This window comes from Homo sapiens, chromosome 9 (genome assembly GCF_000001405.40).
Source record: "Homo sapiens chromosome 9, GRCh38.p14 Primary Assembly".
Lineage (NCBI taxonomy): Eukaryota > Metazoa > Chordata > Mammalia > Primates > Hominidae > Homo > Homo sapiens.
In genome coordinates, this window is record NC_000009.12 from 98,280,515 (window position 1) to 98,304,749 (window position 24,235).

The 24,235-nt window shown below is 46.7% G+C and overlaps 1 protein-coding gene across 4 annotated transcripts in view; it reads right to left on the bottom strand.

Moving 5' to 3' along the window:
- GABBR2 (gamma-aminobutyric acid type B receptor subunit 2) overlaps positions 7,595-24,235 on the bottom strand; it is a 420,827-nt gene continuing 404,186 nt past the window's right edge. For all 4 annotated transcript variants that reach the window (NM_005458.8, XM_017015331.3, XM_005252316.6 and 1 more), the window contains 4 exons: positions 22,727-22,909; positions 18,710-18,839; positions 13,271-13,388; positions 7,595-10,235 (listed from right to left, as the gene is read on the bottom strand). In NM_005458.8, the coding sequence (NP_005449.5) occupies positions 10,070-10,235; positions 13,271-13,388; positions 18,710-18,839; positions 22,727-22,909 (597 nt within the window). In that variant the 3' untranslated portion in view covers positions 7,595-10,069. The remainder of the gene's footprint in view (positions 10,236-13,270; positions 13,389-18,709; positions 18,840-22,726; positions 22,910-24,235) is intronic.

The following is a 24,235-nucleotide window of genomic DNA, read 5'->3' on the forward strand; positions in this document are numbered from 1 at the left end:
AAGAGGGATTTTTATTTCAAGATAATCTTTAAAAAAAGCATATCCTGGGTCATCTGAATCCGGCTAATTGTGACTAGGGTTTAAAGAAGTGGTAAAGGTGGTCTACTCTGGATCGGGCTGCTGTGTTCAAATTGTGACTCACTCCACATCCCAGCTGTGTGACCCAGGACAGCACTCACCCGCTGTGCCTGAGTGCCTTTAGCTGCAGAAGGGTGGTAATGATCGGTTCTGCGCTGGGGTCCCTGTGAGAGCTAAATGAGATTATGCTTGCAAAGCACTTAGCCTGGGGCTTAATGGGCATCTGCACTCAATCACGACTCCAATTGTGTGTATTATCAGATGGCCCCACTATTGTCAATGGCTCATGAGAGAAAACAAACAAAGGTGGCCTTAATAGGGAAGTGATATGTTAGAGTCCAGGGACAGCCCAGTGATATTGCAGCATGCTGAATAAATGAAGTTTTCACAGAAGTTTAAATAAAGAAAAGCAGTGTGATAATTGAGCCATCACACCAGGCTGGCTGAAGTCACAGGAACATGCCCGGCAGCAGTCAGAGCTGTGCTCGTGTGGTGAGCTGCCACTTATTTTTCGGCAAAACCTCATCTATCCCATTCCATCCATGTTGTTAACATGATTTTTATTGGCTTTGCTATTTTGTTTGGATTTTATATGAATGCTGTAAGCCTAAGCTTATATCTGGTTTGAGCACATTTCATAATTTAAGTCAACACAGTTTGAAAAGGTGTCCATATGTCTCTCTCTCTTTCCGCTTTCTTTCAACAGGGTCTCACTCTTTTGCTCAAGCTGGAGTGTAGTGGTGCAATCAGAGCTCACTGCAGTAACTTTCTTTATAAAAACAATTTAACTCAACACTAAAAAGGTGTCCATATGTCTCTTTTCTTTCTTCTCTTTCTTTTCCTTCCTTCCTTCTTTCTTTCCTTTTTTCTTTCCTTCCTTTCTTTCTCTCTCTCTCCTTCCCTTCCTTCCTTCCTCTTTCCTTCCTTCCTGTCTCTCTTCCTTCTCTCTTTCTTTTTTTCCTTACTTCCTTCTTTCTTTTGACCTGGTCTCACTTTGTGGCCCAGGCTGCAGTACAGGGGCACAATCATAACTTACTGCAACCTTGAACTCCTGGGCTCAAGCAATCTTCCTACCTCTGCCTCCCAAGTAGCTAGGACTACAGGCATGCCACCAAGCCCAGATAATTAAAAATGTTTTTTTGTAGAGACAGTCTCACTGTGTTCCCATGCTGGTCTTGAACTCCTGGCCTCAAGAAATCCTCCCTCCTGGGCCTCCCAGAGTGCTGGGATTGCAGGTGTGAGCCACCATGCCTGGCCCTCTCTATTTTTTTTTCATGTTTGAGAAACACTGTTTTGGGTCTTTTCCATTGGAATTCAGATGGAGAGAAATCAGATGTATCTTCTCTCTCACAAAAACCCTAACTTCACAATAGTACCAGACTTCTCCAGTTACAGACGTGGTGGACTAGGGTAGCCAAGAACAGCCACAACCTTGGAGAACAAAGATGGCCGAGCTAATAGCACTTCAACACTGCCAGAGCCTCCAGGCTGGCAGCTTCTCCTATGTCATGTCATTCCTAAAGCTTTGAGTGTGGAGATTGTTTTGCCATCCAGTTGACCATTTTATTGCTGGTCTTATTTTCTAGTATTTCTACTGTTGTATTCAGGATGTTTGAGATTTATGGCTCTATGGGATGACATGTTTCCTATTGCTTATGTAACTTAGATGGAAAGTAAGGGTGACTATGCCCTGTGAGATCTAGATGTGATTAATCCTAACTTTCTATTCCCTCCATACTTGGCTCTGGAAAAGACCAGTGCTTCTTCAATGCTTCTGTGAATTTTGGGAGAGCTTATGGGCTCATGGTCACCTCTTGCTCCAAATTCCCACTGATGCAAAGAGTATATATATATATAAAATATATGAAACATATCATATTTATCATATATAATATATAACATATATACATTATATAACATATATCTAACATATATACATTATATATAACATAGTATACACATATATACGTCATATATGTCGTATATATGTATATATATGTATACTCTGTTGCCCAGGCTGGAGTGCAGTGGTGCAATCCTGGCTCACTGCAACCTCCGTCTCCCGGGTTCAAGTGATCCTCCTGCATCAGCCTCCAGAGTTGCTGGGACTACAGGTGCGTGCCACCATGCCCAGCTAATTTTTGCATTTTTGTAGAGATGGGGTTTCACCATGTTGGCCAGGCTGGTCTCATACTTCTGACCTCAAGTGATCCACCCGCCTTGGCCTCCCAAAGTGCTGGGATTACAGGTGTGAGCCACCGCGCTTGGCCAGAGAACATATTTTTCCCTCTGCATCTTGTGGCTGCTGCTTCTTTTATCCTTACTCTGGTCTCTACCTAAACATAGAATTTGCTGTTTTTCTTTATTTCCACTAAAACTCACAAAGCTTTTACTTGTATAGTAAATGTAACCAAAGGTTTAGGGACATTTTGCAGGAGGGAGTGAAATAAAGGGAAGACAGAGGCTTTTACTTCATGCAACACAAATGACTTAAAATCAAATATTCAACATCCCTATTCTTTTTTTTTTGAAAAGGAATTTTGCTCTTGTTGCCCAGGCTGGAGTGCAATGGTGCAATCTCGACTCACTGCAACCTCCACCTCCCAGGTTCAAGTGATTCTCATACCTCAGCCTCCTGAGTAGCTGGGGTTACAGGCGTGTGCCACCATGCCTGGCTAATTTTTTGTATTTTTAGTAGATACGGGGTTTCATCATGTTCGCCAGGCTAGTTGCGAACTCCTGACCTCAGGTGATTCACCCGCCTCAGCCTCCCAAAGTGCTGGGGTTACAGGCATGAGCCACCGCACCTGGCTGACATCCCTATTCTTAAAAGCTTTTTAGCCACACTGTCCTGTTATTTATCACCCACTCCTTTCATTTTTCTCTCCTTCTAACCCCAAACTTCTAGTTCTTTTTCTAACAGAATTGTTCTGCTGTCTCTCTTTTAGCCTTGTCTTTAGAATCTCACCTTGCCCCTAACACAGCATGTCAGGATGTTTTCCCTAATGACATTCTTCCTAGATGCAGTCTGTTGTGAGGAGACTAGGCTGTTGGCTGCCCCATTGTACCTACTAAAGCTGCTCATTTTACATTCCTCCTGTCTGGGAGTAGCACAAATATAAGCTTAGTGTTCACAAGGCACTTTCCCCTACATGAGCCTCTTTGACTGTCAGAGAAGCTCTGAGCGAGGTATCATGTCCATTTTACAGATGAGGGATCAGAAGCTCAGAGAGGTGGAATCATTCAAAGCCATGCAGCCAGGTAAGTGAAGGTGTACAAATGTGCACCCAGGCCTGATGATTTTTCAGATGTAACTCACATCATCACACATAGACAGGATGCGTGCTGTCTGATCACGCAGCAGTCTGAAGTCACATGGATTCCATGACAGGTGATTAACACACAACAACTTAGTTGTCCTTGGTGCAGCCACAGCAGCCCCTGCAGGTGCATGCATTCTACAGAATTGGGCTGCTAGTTCTCTCCCTCTCCCCTCCTCTTCTTTCTCTCTTTTGCTGGCTAGCTTTTACTCATTTTCAGGTCTAGGTATAGGACTGGCTACATAATTTGTGGGCTCCAGTATGAAATTAAAGTGCTAAGCCCTGGGCCGCGTACAGTGGTTCGTGCCTGTAATGCCAGCACTTTGGGATGCTGAGGTGGGAGGACTGCTTGAGCCCAGGTGATCGGGACCAGCCTGGGCAACATAAATTTTTTTAAATATTTTATTTTTTAGAGAGATCTCATCTCTCTAAACAATAAAAAATTAGCCAGGCATGGTGTTGCATGCCTGTAGTACCAGCTACTCGTAGGCTGAGTGGGGAGGATTGCTCGAGCCCAGGAGGTCAAGGCTGCAGTGAGCTGTGATCATGCCACTGTACTCCAGCCTGGACAACAGAGTGAGACATTGTCTCAAAAATAAACAAGTCAATAAAAAATAAAAATAAAATAAAATTCTAAGCCCCCTTTTCAAAAGTTATTTAGAATTTCAAAATAGTTACAGCAGAGCATTAAGTCGAACATGAGGCCCTTTAAAAACTGTATAGGTTGCAAACCCCCAAAACTAGCCCTGTTTGGAGGCTATGGCCCCCAGGAGGCATGTCCATTCTGGAGCAGGTGCTTATCACAGGCTATTGTCATTTCTTCATTAAGCATCTGTCTTCCTATTAGTGTGTGAGCTTCTTGAGACCTATATCCTACTCACTGTTCACCTGGCACCTAGCACAGGCCTTGGCAAAGATCAGGGGCTCGGTGGATGCCCCATTGAGGGTCTGGGGCTCCTGAAGGTGGGACCTGGAGGAACCAGACAGTGAATTGTCATCTCTGGGCAGGACCCACTCAGGACCACGGACAGGGCAGACCAAGTATGATGGAGTTAGCCCCTGGGATTTGCCAGGGGTTTCAGATGTGGGGTGGAGGCAGAGGAGGGACCAATTTTCTCTTCCAGAGAGTGTGTTAATCATTTACTGTCCAGTACCTACAAACCCTGCTCCTCAAGGCTAAGTAAGGGGTGACAAGCTAAGGGGGTAGGGGACAGGCAGGTGACAAGTGCTGGGCACGCAGCTTGGTGCCAGCCCTCCGGCCCTCAGCCTGGCTCCTTGACCCTTCTTTAGCCTCCTGAGGCTTCTTAGCCCCATCTTCCCTTTGGGTATCCTTACCCACCTCCCTGTTCAGCAGCGTGTGTGAGGCCAGGGAAATATCTCCTGCATGTCTCCTTAATACCAGGAGGGTTTCAGACAACAGTGAACCCCTCGTGGAGCCCCTCTGCATCCCACAGATTTCTTTTGGTTCTAAGTGACAGAAACCCAACTCTATGTAAGCAGAAAAGGGTATGTATTAGTTTAAAACCTACAAGCTCAAGGATGGATGTATTTTTAGGTATCACTGGTCCTTGAGCCTAAATGATGCAATGAGAGCTCAGTTTCCCTCTTTTCATTGCTCTCCACGTGGAGGGCAAGATTTCAAACTTCTTAAAAACGGCAGGGGAAAGCTTTGACTGGCTGGGCTTGGTTAATGAGCATATCCCTGAGCCAATCCTGTGTCCAGCAGTGGAAGCAAGGGCGGCCCTCCAGATTTTCTCTCTTCTGCTTTCCCCCAAAAGTAGGGCAGTGCTTTCAGAGGAGCTGCAGGAAGGCAGATGTGGTTGCTGGACAGGCAGAGGTGCTGATGGCCGCCAGTCTGCTTTTTGCAATCTACCCAGTACCACCTCCTCTCCCTGGCACTGGCTTCTAGGCCTGTGGATCCTGATCCTTGTAGAGAAGAAATTGCTGAGCACAGGAAACTGCCTGGAAGGGCAGGCCTCGGCTGGTGCCCCAGGCTTAATGTTTTCAGAAACCTCTCCCCTTCTTCCCTCAGAGTGGACCCCAGTGTTGTCTCCACACCCCAGGGTGAGGAGACCCCCAGGCAGAGCTTTCTAAGAGGGCTTCAACTCCAGAAAGCCTGTCTTTGAGGTTGGGAAACACTCTTTTATTTTTAACTCAGAAATGACCCAGTCATAACAAAAGGAAGACAGAATGCTTTTGAAGAAGAATGAAGAGGAATGAAGTGCACCATTGCTGTCTGGGCTTTTCCTGCTTATGGCCAAGCAAGGCATCACTTCAGTGATGTGACAAGGAGCATCTTCAACACTTGGGTCATTTCTCTCTTTCAGACGTGCTAAGAGGAAAGACCAAATGTTGTCTTGGCTGACTCCATATTTAGTGAGGCTATGTAAAGATTTCTCAGTCTGTGGTAGCTGAGAAATTGCTCTATGGGGCAGCGTCTCACCGCTGTGGTCGTACTACCTATGGCAGAACAGGTGTGGGAAGTGGACTGAGAAGAGCCAAGTCTCAAAACCAGGACATCTGGGTTCCATGCTGGCCCTCTCGTGACCTTCTGGTTGACCTTGGCTCCAGTTGCTGGGCCTCCGTTTCCCCAACTGTACTAGGAGGGGCTGGGTGAGATGACCGCTGCCACCTTTCTCTGCTCTAATTTCTGTGAGTCAGGGTCAGGTAGAGAAGGAAGACCAGCTAAGATTCTGGTTGTTCCTGCCTTTGCCACAGCCTTATTAGGTGGCCTTGGGTACGTATTCTTCATGTTGGGCCTGTTTCCCATCCTTGAACAACCCACATCCCGTAGGATGGCTGTATGAGCAGTGGTGTGGAGCAGCAGGCACAGAGCAGGGGTCTCCTGGGCCAGGATTCAGAGAGCCTGCTCCTTGGGAGCCTCCACGTTGAGGATCCCATGTCCCGGAAAACTCCAGGCTGGGACTAGCCCTCCAGTGGAGTCTGTGAGTCCAGTGCACCCATTTCTAGGACTGCACCCAGTCACATGAACCTCGGGCCTCCCCAGCCTGCTGTGGCCACCTCTGCTTTTACTCTGCCTTCTAGACCCAGCAACCAGTGTGGACAAGCCTCTGTCAAAATGTTCAATTATGAAAAGCCTCGTTGAAGCCCATTCTGAGCTACAGGGAGGAACTGCTGCCCAGTGGAACGTCATGGAAGCAGACATGAGTCCCATCGTCAGGGAGCTCAGGGTCCGGAATGGGGAGGGGACAGCGTGGGCATGTATGCAGTGCTGTAGAGAGGGGGAATGTCCTCAGTCCAGAGCTAGGAAGAGAAGATCCCATTGAAGGGGATCTAGTCGGAGCTGCCGGCTGAGGCTCAGCACCCTGGAGAAGTAAAACAGACTTTGGGGTGGCTCCATAGGCTCCGGGGGGTGGGATGATGAGGCTAGAAAGGAGCATGGGGCCAAATCTCGACAGGCTGGCAAGGCCCCGAAGGGGAGTTGGGGCTGGAGAGGTTGTGGGTTTTCCATATTATTTAAGAATCTTGGGATTGCAAGTGATGGGAACCCAACTTGAACTAACCTCGGCAAAAAGGGCAATGTATCAGAAGAACAGAGAATCCAAGGAAGTCCTGAACAACTGAGCAGGTGAGGAGGGCCCAGAGTGCCTTCAAACCTCCTGAAAACAGCTGGCAGAAACCCTGGGAAGTGCTCTGATTGGCTGGTCCTGGATAATGAGCATATTCCTGAACCAATCACTGTGTCCGGGGGTGGGAGCAAGGATGGTGGGAGCAAGATTCCCTTCCAATAGGTCCCCTTCCTTACCCCAAAATCAGGGCTGTGCTTTCAGAGGAGCGCAGGAAGGGACCGCTAACCAGGTACTCAGACACCATCAGAACTCAGCTGTTGGTCCTGATTGTCTCTCTGTTGGCTCCATTTTTTTTTTTTTCTGTTTCATCGCAGACTAAATTTCTCTACATGGAGGAATCCTGAGGAAGTGATTTACCGGCCCAGCCTAGGTCAAATTCCCACCCTCGAATTAATCAGCTGTGGCCAGAAGTTGGGGTCACCTGGTAACAGGGCTGCTTTGCCGCTGTCAGCAGGAGGCTGGGATGGGCAGTTTATGAAGGAAGGGACAATGCTGAGCAGGCAACCCCAGAATTGTCCCCTGAGTTTCTAAGCGGAGGAATATGGCCCGATCTGACCTGCATTTTGGGATGAGTAGGCATTAAAGACGACAGGTTTTTTCCTTTTATTCATAAAAACAAATTTGCAACAATTTATTAAAAATCGATACCATGCAGTAGGGGTACGAGAAATTCCTCATTTACATTTGATTCTGGCAGTTCCAGTCTAATTTAAAGCGTTTTGTGCACTAACATCATTGGAAAATGCCTTCAGGCCGAAGCCTCTTCAGAAATGGACGGTGTGTTTGCTGCATATAAAAGAACAGAACCATTAAGTAGCTAGAGTCACTTCTGTGGGTCTTGTTATTTGCGAGGAAATTAAAAAAAAATGGGTGAACCTACAGTATCAGTAAGACAGAGAATGTACTTCGTGAGTTAACCTAGAAGACAGCGCACGCTCAGGAGTCACAAAGGGTTACAGACGCACAGGCTCACCTCCGACAGTCCAATACTTTTGTTTGTTTTCCTGCTATGCTGGAATAATATTTCTACAGGTATTTTTTTTTGTGTGTGTGTATACATTATGTACAATTAATTGTCTCTTTCCCTTTGAAAAATTAATGTGGTCCTTTAAATTAAATTTGGTTTTGGTGAAATCAAGAAAGCAAGTAAATACTGGTAATACACAGTGAGTGACAACACCGATTTTTAGTGCCTAAACAGAGAATGACTTCAACTTGACCTGTGATGTGTTAACATTTTTTTTTCCCTAAAAGCTACAGTACCTCCATAACCTCTCTTTGGGGAAGGGGAGCAGAAAGCTATGCTACGTGAAATAGGGTGCTTTGAAATGTTGGCATTGGTAAGATTCCTGTGGGCCCTTTTGTCAAAGCCTGGTGGAGAAAACAGTTTATTCCTGACTGCAGTGGTTCTGGGAAGAGATTATTGCCTGCCTGTTGAAGCTGCCAATAGGTTTCTTTAGGGAGTGAGCGAGCTGCTCAGTTGTGCAGACATCCTGGACATTGTCATTCAGGCCTTTCTTGAGCAAAGAATGAACCTGTCTAGGAATGTCAGAAAAGTCACTGGGAGCCTCCCTCCAGCCCGGATGTTCTGGGTAGAGGGCTGTGCTGGAAGCTTCTCTGGGCCACACCCCCGGCTGTAGGGAGGGCTGAAGGTCAGAGTCATACTCATACCTCACGGATCAGGGCGGCTTCACTGTTTGGTACAAAGCTTTCCTGGACAAGATCAAGTTTCAATCCTCAGAGTGACCTTGTGAGGTAGGCAGGACAGGTGTTTTAGTTCAACCCCAAGTTACAGAGGGGAAACTGAGGCTCAGAGAGACACTAGTGACCTGATCAAAGTCACGTAGGGAGTGGGCAGGGGACTGAGGACTTGAACCCAGGTCTGTCTGACTCCCAGGCCAGTGCTCTTAGGGGCTCAATTTAAAGGGAGGAATGATCTTATGAATGAGAATCAATCTGCTGACTGATCACCCCAGTGATCCCAAGGGGAGAGCTCACTGGCTTGTCTGGATGGAAGGCTGCCTTCTGGAAGCCAAGGGAAGCCCTCAGCCAGCAACTCTCTCCCCTATGTCTACGGGGATGTCTTTTAGCAGAGTGCCTCCAATTCACTTTGGTCAGAAACAAAGTTAGTGGGAAAAAAAAAAAAAAAATCCCAGCCAGCCCTTGGGCCCTGATGAGAGAGGTTAAAGTGCACAATCTTTCTTTATCGTGTTTGCTGGGAACAGACATTCCATGATTAGCTCGGGTGGTCCCCCTGGTTACTGGGAGCATCCGATAGGAACACAAGGACATGGCCAACGTGGTGGGTGCATGACAGACTGTCGGTGAATGCTGCAGAGCGTGTCTGCAGTGACGTGCCCTAAATCCCCACGGTCCCAGGAATGGGTGTTATTGTGTTAACGTGTGGCATTTACCAGAGTAACAAACATCTCATTGGGTGACACAGGTCCCATGTGGAGCATGTAAGTCAGCCTGCTCCAGTGCCGCAGCCCTCGGCCTGCCTGCTCCAGGGCTGTGCCTGTCTGCGCTCCTGCAGACTCCCTGTTCCAGGAAGGCTGGGGTCAGCTGGCCTGGCAGCTGGGGGCCTGGTGGCCCTTCCCACCTCCTCCCCCAGAGTGGAGAAGGGCTAGCCTGAGGGGTCACAGCCAGTGATGTGTGTGCAGAGGCAGTTTCTTCAGAAGCTCCTTGCCTCTTCCCAAGGCTGCTCGAGCCACTCCGTGACTTCCAGCTGGAGTTCTAGTGCCTCTCTCCTTGTCTAGTTTTTTTGTTTTTTTTTTTTTTTTTTTTTTTTTGCAAGTTTGATATCCCAGCGCCTCCTTGTTTGCAGATGTTAAGGAAGACGTCCCATTTCCGTTCCTCTTCTTTGTGAAGAAATAAGGACTTCACAAATAAGGCTCGAGGTCAGGTGCCAAGTCTCCCCCTGCCCCGTCCTGTCCACCTGAGTGCCATCCGAGTGGTCCTGAGAGGCCAGCCATGGTGCCCAGCTTCTCCGCAGCCAGAGCCGACAGTGTTTCTGCAGCAGACCCCTCTGCCCAGTGTGGTTCTGTCACGGGGGAGGCCCCGGGCCCAGGCCTCCCACCCTTACAGGCCCGAGACCATGACTCGGAAGGAGGGTGGCACATGTCTGTGGCGGGGGCTGGCGGTGGGGCTGACGCAGGGGCTGACACAGCTGGCGTCCACGCCTCCGATGGATGGGAGGTAGGCGTGGTGGAGGATGGGGAGCTGGAGGGACAGCCGACGCTGGATGCTGAAGAGAAGGAGAGGGAGGAGTGTTAGTGAAGGGTAGCTGGGCGCTTACCAGAAAGTTCCTTGGACTTGCTTTGGCTAAAAAAGCTGATGACAGGAGCATATTTTTCTCTGAATCCAAGATCTGTCCATCCAATCATCTAACCATTCAGCAATCCAGCAGGTATTTAATGAGGGCCCATATGTACCAGCTACTGCCCTGGGAATGACCAGGGAGACTTGAATAAACAAGGGAGATGAATTTTCTCGAGCTTTGGGCCAGGATTTGGTGGTTATTATAAATACCCTAGCAGAAAAGATGCTCCTTGACTTACGATGGGGTTACATTCCCATAAACCCATTGTAAGTTGAAAATATCGTAAGTTGAAAAATGCATTTAATCCACCTAACCTACCAAATATCCTAGCTGAGCCTCGCCTACCTTAAATGTGCTCAGAACACTTACAGTTGGGCCATATCATCTAACACAAGGCCTATTTTATAAAAAAGTGTTAAATATCTCATGCAATTTACTGAATACTGTACTGAATGTGTATCACTTTCACACCATTGTAAATTTGAAAAATGGTAAGTTGGGGACTGTCTGTATTACTAAGGACAAAGCTTTGCCTTTCTATCAGGGCTTTGCTGCAAACCAGATAGTTCGCATTCTCTACTCTTGCAAACCTCCACAGGGCTTTCAGTTTCATCCCTGAAAGACTTCTCGCCTGCTCCATCCTTCCTCTCTCCCGTCTGCCTCTGCTTTGCCCAGGACCGCATCTCTTCTTGCTGGGCCAATTCCCACAGGCTCTTCCAGCTTCTTTGGTAACTAGTGTTATCTTTCCAACACTAGGAAGCCAAGGAAGGGAAAAAAAGGGACACTGATGTGATATTTGGGGCCCCCTAAGTTCCATCTTTGGATCAGAATTTTCCAGGTGAATCTTCCATCCTTTCCACCTGTAAGCCCTGCCCTCTGGCAGCCAGTTTCCCTGGAAACCCTGCTCCTGGGTGCTCTTCTGCTGTTTCCCTGTCTGGAAGACTCTTTCTCTGCTTCCTGACATGATGAACTGTGTCTCCTTCAAGATCCAGTTTAAATATCACCTTGTTTGTGCTCACTCTCTGCTAGGAGAACCCTTCCTCTGCTAAGCAGAACCCTAGGTAAATACTCAGAAATGAAGCCAGAAAAAGCTGGAGGCAAGATGGAGCTGGGTGTGGGTTAGCACGTGATGGAGGAGCAGCAAGGGAAAAGGGAGCTGCCCTCTGACTCCCTTCTCATTGCCACACCCTTCTGGTCTTAATGACTGTCATGTCACTTTGTTGAAAAGGCTGCTTGCGGCAAATGTGCCCAGGTGACTGCTCCTCTGCTCGGCTCAGCTGCATTCTTGCACAGTTCTCCATGGGTGCAACTTTCACACCGCATTCCTTGAGAGAAGGGACTGAGTTCTTATGCCTTCTTGTGTTCCCAGTGCCTGGCCACTCACGTGCAAAAAAGCGAAAAACAAAAACCCCAGAGCTTAACAGACACCCAATAGGCAAAAGAAATACTGCTATTCCCATTATAAAGAAGAGGGAAGAGTACAGAGTTCAGGTAACTTCCCCATGGAAACAAAACCAGAACTGGGGAAGCTGGAATTCTTGCTGCTTCTGTTCAACCACATTGTTTTGTGGTGGAGGCGAATCAACTCATGGGGGCAGCCTTATCCCAACTGGGTGTGCCCTTGGGGTTCATTTAGGTCACTGGTGGGTTCTGAGATAGATGGGTACAGACGAAGTGCTGCCCACACTTTCCAGAAAGATTCCTCCCAAGAGACACCTCACAGGTGTGCATGGAACTACAGTGTTGGAGATCTCATTCTGAAGTTAAAGTTGGACCTGTATAATGTCAGCTGAAGTCTGTGTCTTAAGGCAAGATCATGCTGGCAAGAAGTCCAGGACAAAAAGGGAAGAATAAACTGTGACCTGGGAAAAGGGTGTCCTGTCCAAGCACCCAGGGCAGGGCTATCTGCCTAGGCAAGGTGGGTCCTGTGGTTGTCAGAGCATTCTTCTGTCTGTTAGGATCCTGTTCACCTTTCATTCATTCAACAAATGCTTGTCAAGAACCTATTCACTGGCAGAACCTGTGTTCGGTGCAGGGGACACATGAAGGACTCATAACTTACTCTCAAGGTGCTTACACTCTACTGGAGGCAACTGCTAGGCAAACTGCTGACAAATTCCATGTAACTCTCACTCACTGTCCTGGACTGTAAGCTGGCCAGGCCTTGGAGCTAGTTGGGTTGACAGGCCCTTAGCTCTAATACTAAAGAGCCCCAAATGATGCTGCAATTGGTGATTTGGCTGCTTTTGCTGGTTCCTCATTGCTTGTCACTTCCAGAGGCCAAGTTTCAAAGTTTGTATTTCCAGCTTCTGCTTCCAATGTGCTATAAGATGGGAAGGCCTAAAATTGCCTGTGGGAACAAAGCTAACAGAGATGTTCAGGTCTTTGCTTTGATGTCACCATCTCATTGAGTCTTCTCTGACCACCCTATTTAAAATGACACTCCCTGACCCCCTTCTGTGCTTTTCCTCCAAAGCTCCTATTGTTTGACATGCCACTTCTTGCTTTTTAATTAAGCTATCAGCCTCCTAGATAGAATGGAAGCTCTATGAAGATAGGAATTTTAGTCCGTTTTCTTCACCGCTGTAACCCTAGCACCTATGCCTGACATACAGGAGGTCTCAGTAAACTGTTAAGTAAATGCATTTAGCAAGGTTAAATTTTACACATAACAAAGGCAGCGTCTTGTGGTAGACAACATGGGATTTGATGTTGGAAAGATGTGAGTTCAAGTCCTACTTCCTGCATGTAGCAATTGAGTGACCTTTGGCAAGTCACCTCCCCTTTTTGAATATTAGTTTTTCATCTGTAAAAAGAGCACTGTAATTGGACTGCATCATGGGATGGCTGTGGAAAGCAAATAAAATAATGGATGTGAAAACATCGTGCAAATTGCAAACTCTTGTGCAGGAGTGACGTATTTCTTCTTCAGTTATAATTCTCAAGGAGAAGGTACTTACTGTTCTGGAGAGTTTATATCTTCTATAGGATCTTTGCATGTTCGAGAGGGCTCTGTTGTGTTCCACTGTAGCTGGGGATTTTGATCGAGGTGATTTTTTAAAATGGCCTTTCCTCCATCTGAATGCAAAACAACAATACCACAACATGTTCGGTTAACTTAGTTTTTAAAAATCAACAATGCAACTTTTTGTAGGATGATGCCCCAAGAGACAGAATGCAAAAGAGCCCATTATCCCTCTGTGTTCTCTAAGCTGAGGTCTGTGTAGTGGCTCTCCCGGGACCAAGGCGGTGAGCTGAGAAGCCTCCAGCAGTCAGGGATGGAAGCAATGTGCTGGGGATGTGTGTGGCATGCCCCACGCTCTCCTTTCCAAGAACAAAAAGGGGAAAATCAAGTCGACTAATGTAGGAAACATAACTTAGAAACAAGAGGTTCTAACATTCTTTTTCACAGGCACATAGGGATGTAAGACAAAGAAAAAACCTCCAAGGTATATTTTTCATAGAGCAGCAAAGATTGCAAAGAAAAAGAATAGTCAGTAAACTGCTGGTGGGAGAATAAATGGACATAATCTTACTGGGGGCACTGCTGATCTGTGTCAAACACCATAAAAGGACCTATTTTTTACCCGGAATTTCCACTTCTCGAAATTATCCTAAGGAAATAATTAAGGATCTGTGCAAAGATATATACAAGATGTTCAACCTCGGCATCTTTTTTTTTTTTTTCTGTCACTCAGATCGTGCCACCAGTGGCATTATCTTGGCTCACTGCAACTTCCACCTCCCAGGTTCAAGCAATTCTCCTGTGTCAGCTCCAAGCAGCTAGGACTACAGGCGCATGCCACCATGCCCAGCTAATTTTTTGTATTTGTAGTAGAGATGGGGTTTCACCATATTGGTCAGGGTGGTCTCGAACTCCTGACCTCAGGTGATCCAACTGCCTTAGTCTCCCAAAGTGCTAGGATTACAGGTGTGAGCCGCTGCGCCCAGCCACAACCTCAGCATCATTTATAATATTAAAATGTTGGAACTCATCTGAATTTGGTAATAATGGATTAGTTACAGAAGTTATAGGACCTCCATTCAAAATAATATTGTGTAGCCACAAAATATGTGATTCAAATTCTCTCAACTCTCTCTGTGCTTCAGGACCATACAAGGAGATTTAAAGAAATATAAAAATCAGGTTCCCACCCGAGATTTGGATTCATGTGGTCTGGAGGGGTCTTTGTTTTTGCTCCAGTGGGCAACCTTATATGTATGTCATTTTGCACCTACGTGTGTACAGTTGATCCTCATTATTCATGAATTTTGTATTTGCGAACTCTTCTTCTGACTAAAATTTATTTGTAATCCCCAAATCAATATTTCAATGCTTTTGTGGTCATTTGCTGACATGCACGGTGTGGGAAAATGTGAGTTGCATGATGCACGTGTTCCCAGCTGAGGTTGAGCAAGGTGATGCACTGCCTTAGCGCTTAGCTTTTATATTGTAAATAAGTATCTTCCTGAAGGTTATTTAGTGACATGTTTTTCACATTTTGTGCTGTGTGTTGGTGAGTTTGCTGTTTAAAATGGCCCCCAAGCACAGCGCTGAAGTGCTGGCTAGTGTCCCTAAGCACAAGAGGGCTGTGATGTGCCTTATGGAGAGAAAATACATGAGTTAGATAAGCTTCCATCAGGCATGAGCTATAGTGCTGTTGGCTGTGAGTGCAATGCTAATTAAACCATATATATTAAATGAGATGTCTTTTTTTTTGAGACGGAGTCTCACTCTGTCTCCAGGAGGAGTGCCGTGGTGCCATCTTGGGCTCACTGCAACCTCCGCCTCCCAGGTTCATGTGATTCTCCTGCCTCAGCCTCCCAAGTAGCTGGGACTACAGGCACGTGCTACCATGCCCGGCTAATTTTTGTATTTTCAGTGGAGACAGGGTTTCACCATGTTGGCCAGGATGGTCTCGATCTCTTGACCTCGTGATCCGCCCACTTTGGCCTCCCAAAGTGCTGGGATTACAGGCTTGAGCCACTGTGCTCAGCCTAAATAAGATGTCTTTAAAGAGAAACATGCATACAACAAAATTATATATTGATTGGTGGACAAAAATGTCAGCTTGTGATGTCAGCCTGTGAGAGATTCCCAGGAACTAATCCTGTATAGGAGCAATGGTTCAGTATTCACAATCCACTGTTGATGGAGGCTTTACAGAAAGAACATAACTACCGCTACGGTGAATCAGCAGAATCGACTGTATATCCATACTGCTATGGTCTGAATGTGTCCCCCCAAATTCATGTGTTGAAACTGAATGACCAATGTGATAGTGTAAGAGGTGGGGCCTTTAGGAGGTAATTAAGTCGTGAAGGCGGAGCCCGCATGGATGAGGTTAGGGCCCTTACAAAAGGGCTTGAGAAAGTGGGTTTACCCCTTCCACTCCTTCTGCCACATGAAGATGTAGAGTTCCTCCCCTCCAGAGGATGCAGCAATCCAGGTGCCATCTCAGAAGTGGAGGCTGGACCCTCCTCAGACACTGAACCTACTGGCACCTTGATTTAGGACTCCCCAGCCTCCAGAACTGTAAGAAATACATTTCTGTTGTTTATAAATTACCAAGTCTGCAGTATTGTGTTACAGCAGCACAAACAGACTAAGGCATGGAGAACAAATCCCAAAAGTGGGATTGCTGGGTCTGAATGATTTCTGTTTCAACCAGCAGCATTTGAGAATGCCTCTCTTATAACCTGTTGCCTGGCACTCTGAGCAGCTTTTTGATCTCTGATCTTCGCCAGTCTTTGAGGCAAAAATGGTATCTCATTGCAGATTTAATTTGCATTCCTTTAATAAGGAATGAGATTGATCATCTTTTCATAAGTGTAAGAACAATTTCCAGTTCCTTTTATGAGAACTCTCTTTTGCTCATTTTTCTTTTGAGATGTTGGTCTTTTTCTTACTAATTGGTATATAATTATACATACTTTTTGTATTGTTACACATCATTTCTCCTTATATATAAGGGCATAAGCTTGTTATCTGAGTTAATTTTTGGCTTTGTTTGATTTTTTTGACTGTACTTATCATGGCTTTTGCATTATGAAAGAAATTCTTTTTGTACCTAAATTTATCAACCTTTCCTTTTGTGATTTCTGTTTTGCATCAAACTGAGACAGGTCCTCCACTCTCTGAGATTATTTTTTAAAAATTTTACTTTGGTTTCTTCTAGTACTTTCATGTTTTCATTTTTTATATTTAAATATTTTATTCATTGGAATTAATTTTTGTGTAGGTGTGAGTTTAGGATCTACCTTATTCTCCTCCAGATGCCTACCCATTTATCCCAATGAAATTTATTGAATAATTCATTTTTCCCACAAATTTAAAATGCCCACTTTTACCAGATACGAAAGTTATTAGAAGTAATTTTTATTCTTGTAATTTCCTTGTTATCTCAATTTAAACGTTTTTGCAATAACCATGTTATATAATATTAATTATAGAATATTGCTACTGTAATAAGACCACTTACTACTTATATAATCAGAATAAAAGGCCAGGCATGGTGGCTTATGCCTGTAATCCCAGTACTTTGGGAGGCTGAGGTGGGTGGATCACCTGAGGTCAGGAGTTCGAGACCAGCCTGGCCAACATGGTGAAACCCCGTCTCTACTAAAAGTACACAAAAATTAGCTGGGTGCAGTGGCAGGCACCTGTAATCCCAGCTACTCAGGAGGCTGAGGCAGAAGAATTGCTTGAACTTGGGAGGTGGAGGTTGCAGTGAGCCGAGATCGTGCCATTGCACTCCAGCCTGGGCAACAAGAGCGAAACCCCGTCTCAAAAAAATAAAAAATAAATAAATAAAATAAAGATTTTTCATTGATTTAAAATAATATTATAACAAATTGATGAATACATGCTAATGGAAAAATCCAAGCCATAGAGAAATACAAAAAAGGTAATGTGGCCAGGCGTGGTGGCTCATGCCTATAATCCCAGCACTTTGGGAGGCTGAGGCAGGCGAATCACTTGAGGTCAGGAGTTCCAGACCAGCCTGGCCAACATGGTGAAACCCTGTCTCTACTAAAAAAAAAAAAAAATTAGCTGGGTGTGGTGGTGGGCACCTGTAATCCCAGCTACTAAGGAGGCTGAGGTAGGAGAATTGCTTGAACAATTCTCCAGTGAGAATTCTCCAGTGAGAAGGTTGCAGTGAGCTGGAATCATGCCACTGCACTCCAGCCTGGGTGACAGAGTGAGACTCCATCTTAAAAAAAAAAAAAAAAAAGTAATGTAAAATAGTCCCTTCTCACTCACTTTCCACAATACCATTTCTTTTCACACGAGTGAATACTGTTAGCAATTTGGTGTTTGTTTTTCTAAACCTTTTAAAAAATGCATTCACACACACATGTATGCATTTGTGTGTCCCATAATCATAATGTTGGCTTTCATCTTGCTTTTTTCACCTGGAGATCTTTCCATATCTGCACAAGTAGACCCACCTCACTTTTTAATAGCTATAAAATGTGCCATGTTTTGCTATATCTTAATTAATGAAACCACCCCCAAATAATGAACATTTAAGTTAACTGCAGTTTTTCTCACCTACAGACAGCACTGTGATGAACATCTCTGTGTTCATCTCTGCACACCTGGGAGTATTTGCAAGGGGCAGGTTCCTGCTAGTAGAACTGCCAGGTCAAGAGGTTTAACATGGAGCATTTAGACAGTGCTAGACTGACTTCTAATGCATTGCAGGAGAATGCTCATTTCCAAATACTCTTACCAACTCTGGTAACCTTTAAAATTTTTTTTCTAAAAGGTAGGCAAAAATGGTTTGTGGTTTTTTTTAAATTTATTTTTGTAGAGATGGGGTCTTGCTATGCTGTCCAGGCTGATCTCAAATTCCTGGACTCAAAGAGATTCTCTAGCCTTGGCCTCCCAAAATGCTGGGATTACAGGCATGAGCCATTGCACCTGGCAGGTTTGTGTTATTGTAGCTTGCAATTCCCAAGTGGGTGGTGAGATTAAGCATTCTATCATAACTAACTGACCATTCTTTTCTTGCACATTGATGAGGTGTGTTTGAAACTGTGAAATATCGTTCAGAGAAGAAAGGGTAAACTATTCGCTAAGAACAAAAGGGAAAATAAAATGTGCCTGCCCCCAGTCAGGACACTGGGAATGCTGGCCCCACTGTGTAGGTGTGGAACTGCAAGCCGAGGGATGAGAAATCGAAGACCCAGGCCCAGGCAGGGTGGGGCTCAAAGCGGACACTGAACTGTGGTCAGCAGACAGAGGTTCCAGATGCTCCAGCTCTGTGTGTGTGACTTCATACCAGTCCTGTGCCCTGTCTGAGCCTCAGTTTCTTCATCTAAAAAATGGAAGATGAACAGCTGGTGTTTGAAACCAAGGTCCCTACCACATTCTGGGGCCCTGGCTCTCTTACCTGTGCTCTCAGTGAAGTTTCCCAGGTTGAGGATGTCATTGAGCTCTTGGTAGTGGTTCTGTTTAATGTAGGTGGTCTTTTCTGGTGTGTCCTGCAGCTGCATGGTGACCTCTTCCAAGTCTTTATCCAGCTACAAGACAAAGGTTCCAGTTGAGTCAGGTCCCTGGCCCAGCCCTGGCAGCTAGGCCACTAGGGCCAAAAGGTAGCTCACAGGGCTGGGCCTTTACCTGTATTCAGGAGTGCCCTGAGAATCAGAGGGGTTACTGCATTTTGGTGAGGAGATGCAGAAGGATCCTGGCGGCTCTTTGTTCAAGGAGAAGCTATGATAAGAGGGACCTGGGCTTTGCAATTATGTGTTCAGTGTAGGCTTGGGCCTTGATGAAGCAGACAAGCAAGCTCAGGGAGGAAGGGCAGGGAGAGCATACGAGCTAAGGCTCTGGACAGGACTTATGCAAACCCAAGGCTGCCCCTTACTTGCAGTGATGTTCTTCTGGCTTGTGAGAACCCAGTCTCAATTTCTTTTTCTGTAGAATGGGGTAATAATAGTACCTACCTCAGGGGGAGGTTGTGCAGATCAAACAAGATAATACATGGAAAGTTTAGCCCAGTGTCTGAAACATAATAAGGGCAACTTGCTACTATAATAATATTACTATTATTACAGGGTCTCACTCTGTCACCCAGATTAGAGTGCAGTGGTGCAATTATAGCTTACTGCAACCTTGATCTCCTAGGCTCAAGCAATCCTCCTGTCTCACCCTCCTGAGTAGCTGGGACTACACGTGCATGCTACCATGTCTGGCTAATTTTTTTTTTTTTTGGTAGAGATGGGGTCTCTCTATGTTCCTCAGGCTGGTCTTGAACTCCTGAGCTCAAGCAATCCTCCCACTTTGGCCTCCCAAAGTGCTGGGTTTACAGGCATGAACTACTGTGCCTGGCCTTATAATTACTATTACTGATACTTAATAGGACCCACAGTGGAGGACAGACATGCAGGGCTCGCGAGCTCTGAGCCTCACACTATCATGGAGACTCTGACCTGCAGGGTCTCACTCAGAGGAGTTAATCAGGATGGGTCCCAGTCATCCCCACGTTTTTATTTTTAGAGACAAGTCTTCTCTATGTTGCCCAGGCCGGTCTTGAACTCCTGGGCTCGAGCGATCCTCCCACTTTGTCCTCCCAAAGCGTTGGGATTACAGGTGTGAGCCACAGCACCTGGCCCATTCCCAGGTTATACAAAAATCAGGTGCAAGTCCTGGGGGCAATTCAGCCCCAGAGAAGCCTGGGCAATATGAGTGTTGGTAGTTGTTGGGGGTGGTAGTCGGGATGGGTGTTGAACATCTGTGATATTACCATATCTGTATAATAGAATGGCTTTCATCCATGATTCCTGGCTGCTATATCTCTTGTAAGAGTCTTTTGTTATAATGTTGGGGCATTTTAGGCCTCAGGAGCGGGCCTCATGAAACAGAATCACTCTCTCTGACCTTCTCCTGTCCTTTCTCACCTGCTCAAGGCAGGACTGTAATCTGATGTAGGTCAAAAGACCTTTATCACAGAGAGAAAGTCTTGCCCCATACCCTGGAGGAAGGAATGCTACAGAGAGGCCAAGAAAATTCTGAGCAGAAAGGCCTTGCTGGGTTTAGATCATGCATTTTTGTCCAATCACATTTCTACACAGTTGTCAGTCATGCCTCGTGTAATGAAGCCTCCATAAAAACTCAAAAGAACAGGGTATGAAGATCTTCTGGGTAGCTGAACACGTGAAGGTTCCTGGAGCATGGGGCCCAGGGAGGCAGGGAAGCTCCACACCCCTTCACCCGTCCTCGCTCTGTGCATCTCTTCATTCATGTCCTTGGTAATAAGCTGGTAAATGTGTTTCCCTGGGTTCCGTGAGCCCCTCTAGCAAATTAATTCAACCCAAAGCAGGATCCTGGGAGTCCCAACTTGAAGCTGGCTGGTCAGAAGTTCCAGAGGCCTGACTTATGACTGGTATCTGAGGGTAGGGTGGGGGTCAGGGGGAGCCTTGGGGACTGAGCCCTCAACCTGTGGGATCTGAAGCTATCTCTAGATATGTAGCATTGGATTTGAACTGGAGGCACCCAGCGGGTGCCTGCTGCTCGTTGGTGGGGAAAACCCCACACACATTTGGTCACAGAAGTCTTCTGCGTTGACTGTTGTGTTGGTGCAAGAGCACAGGAAAAACATGGTTAGAGGATTTTTCCAAACAGCATCCTGCTGTAGTATAAGGGAGGAGACCTGATAAACTATCAGAGGCTGTTCTGATGTCAGGAACACAGCCATGAAATTGTTTAACACGTTTTCATGTGGAGGAGGAGGGAAAGAGATACTCTTTTCTATGTGACTTAAATGGCAGGAGTAGGATCAAAGGGTGGGGACAACAGGAGGCCAGATTGTGATTCATTTCCGGGAAAAATAACACAACATTTAAGAGTTTTAAATAGTGGCCTGGGTTTCCTAATGTGACTGAACTCTTCATTGCTGAAGTGTGCAAGTAGAAGTGAAATGCAGTGACATGGTCGTACTCATCAGGAGAGGTCTGATATTGAAACAGAGCCTGTAATGGGCTTTGGGGGACAGAAACCCTTCTTAGTTTGCTCTGGCAGCTGATGGTGGGTTACCTCATCCTAAAGCAGTCATCTTTAGGTGCACAGACAACTGTATGGTGGCTCTCTGTGGCAGAATTCTGTGAGCCCCCCAAAGGGCGGCCAGATCTAGCAAATAAAAATCCAGAATGTCCAGTCAAATTTGAGTTTCAGATAATGGGTTCTTTTTTAGTATAAGTATATTCAAGTATTACTTGGGCTAAACTTTTACTGAAAATATGATTGGTTGTTGATCTGAAGTCTGAATTTAACTGGGCATCCCATATCTAATCTGGCAACCCTATGTCTCACTTCTTCCTTGCAGCTGTCCAGCTAGAGACGACGTTTCCCAGCCTCTCCTCTCACTAGGTGTGCTCATGTCAGTTTTTGTTGATGTGACTAGGGCAGAACCAAAATATGCACAATTTTTGGTGTTACTGCTTAAAAGGCAATCCCTCATGTGGACTTTCTATCTCTTCCCCTCCTGACACTGTGAACAGGACATGCTGTCCACCCAGCTCTCCCGCTATGAATGAAGAGAACACCCTGGAGAGTGGGGAAAACCAGAGGGCAGGAACCAAGCCCAGCAATGACCTTGGGGAGCAGAGCTGCCCCAACCGGGCCCTCTCTTTTCACGGCCATTAGGTAAAAGGGAAATAAACATATTTTCTCTGGGCCACTTTATTTTGGGGCCTTGTTTAGCCAGCATTGTAACCAATGTACTTTCCTTGGTCCCTTTCCTGTCCCCCTCCCTAATCAGAATTCCTCTATTAAAGCAACACACAGCCTGCAGAGCACGGGTTCAGGCATACCTCCAACCCAAAGGGAGGGGTAGAGGAGGGGAGGTAATTTGTTTTCCCTTCCCTGGTCTACAAGCCAAGCCTGGCTTGGGCACAAGGCAATCTGGCTATGGTCTCTCTGGAATATTCAAGAACCAGTTGAGAACCCTCAGGACAAAGGCGAGGTCTGCTGCAGCACTCTCTCTTGAAAAGTTTCTTTTCACTTTCTCTTCTCTTGTACATCACATAGATGTGGTGGTTGCTGGGTTGTGCTGGGAGAGTGAAAAACTGAGAGGGAGAGAGACACAGATAAAGAGACACTGACGTAGGAAGCTATGATAATCCAGAAGCTCACAAATCTCCCTGAGTTCCTTTCTGTCTGGGGATGGCTTGAATCAGGTGTTGCTGGCCTCCAAGAGCCTGGGTGAGGTGGGCAATAAGCTCATGTTGGATTCTGACAAATGCCTCTGTGTGGTTTATGTCACCCCTGGCTCTCGCAGCTGCAACTGCAGCTGATGAGACTGCACGGTCATGCTGCAGGGATGGTCTAGAGGAGCCTGAGAGTCCCCGCACAGGGTTAGAGGGGCTTCAGTGGCAGACAGGGCCCAGCTACCAGATGCAGAGGGAGGTACCTCTGTGATCTTCATTCGCAGGCGATGGTTTTCTGACTGTAGGCCCTCCAGGCGGGATGTGCTGGCTTGGTTCACACTGGTGACCGAGGTGGACGTTTTAGAATCTTCTTTCTTCTGATTCTGAGTGAACTGGAATCGCCTGTTCTGCGTTGCTGCATCTGGGTTTGTTCTCAGGGTGATGAGCTGAAAGGACAAAGGTTGGGGCGGGGTTGAAGAGAGAGCCTTGAGTCCTTCCTCCCATCCCACATGGCAGACTCTCCCAGCAGATCCTGCTCTGGAGGCGATAAGAGGCCCCAGGAAAGCCACAGGCTGGGAGTCAGGAGACCTAGGCTCAGGCCAGACTCTGCTACTCGCTTGTGTGTGACCTGGGGCAGGCCCCCTCCCCTCACCAAGCCTCCATGTCCTTCCTGGTCACTAAGAGTCTAGTCTCCTGACCCTGATGCCACCTGCATCCCAACCAGGGCCCCCGAGGCCTCACTCCAGCTGCCTAGCACGCTGCCTTAGGCCTTGCTCCTTGTGGAAAAAATAAGCCCCGAGGGCAACAGTTGTGACAACAAAGAGACAGAGGAGAGCGAAGGCCTCTGTTAAACCATTGATGAGTTCTGGAAGCAGGCTAGTAACAAGCTCTGTCACTGACAAAAGCTTGTTTTTTAGCAGCTTAAAACAACACATGGTTATTATCTCACAGTTTCCGTGAGTCAGGGGTCTGGGCATTGCTTAGCTACATCCAAAACATTTTGTATAGAAAACAAAAAGTTGCCACTTGACCCTTACCCGCTTATTCTAGAAACATCTCCGGTCGAAGCAGGCTCTGGGCTCAGCTCTGGAAAGCAGGAGCTGAGTGACCCATGGCCCCTGCCCATTGGGACTTCATGGTCCAGAGGCGTGGGATGGGGATGAAGGAAGGACTCAATCTTCACCAGGCCAGCGGGTATCAGGGACAGCCTACCACAGTGCCATGGCCTGCTGGGCTTTGAGGGCGGTCTGGAGGGATGGTGGGGGGAAGGGAACTCCAAGGGAAGAACTGGTGTCTGGCAACGCAGGGAGGCCTGGGGTAAATGGAAGGGGAAGGGCAGGCTGGGTGGTGGACAGGGTTCTCTGGGGAGACTAGAGGAGACCCAAGGGTCCTGAGAGCCAGCCCAACATCAGAAACCTGATCCTAGAGCCAGGAGGACAATGGGGAGCTATTGGGCGTAACAGAGCAGAGTGCCGCAATTGAAGCTTGGCTTAGAGAATCATCTGGCCTCTTTTACAGGATGGAAAGAATGTCAGAGTGCAGGCAGAGAAGTCACGGTGTTGCCCTTTAGGCTGGGCAGGTGTGGACGACTAAGGTGTGTACACCAGAGGTATTCCAGTGCAGAGCTCACAGTGCCTGGGGGCTGACTGCATGTCCAGGAGGATGGAGGCACCATGGGTAGCCTGTTTGCTGAAATGGACCCAGATGATCTTTCCTCTCCCCTGCTCTGAAGCAGATGCCTCCCACTTGGGTCAGTAACCCCTCCCAGCTTT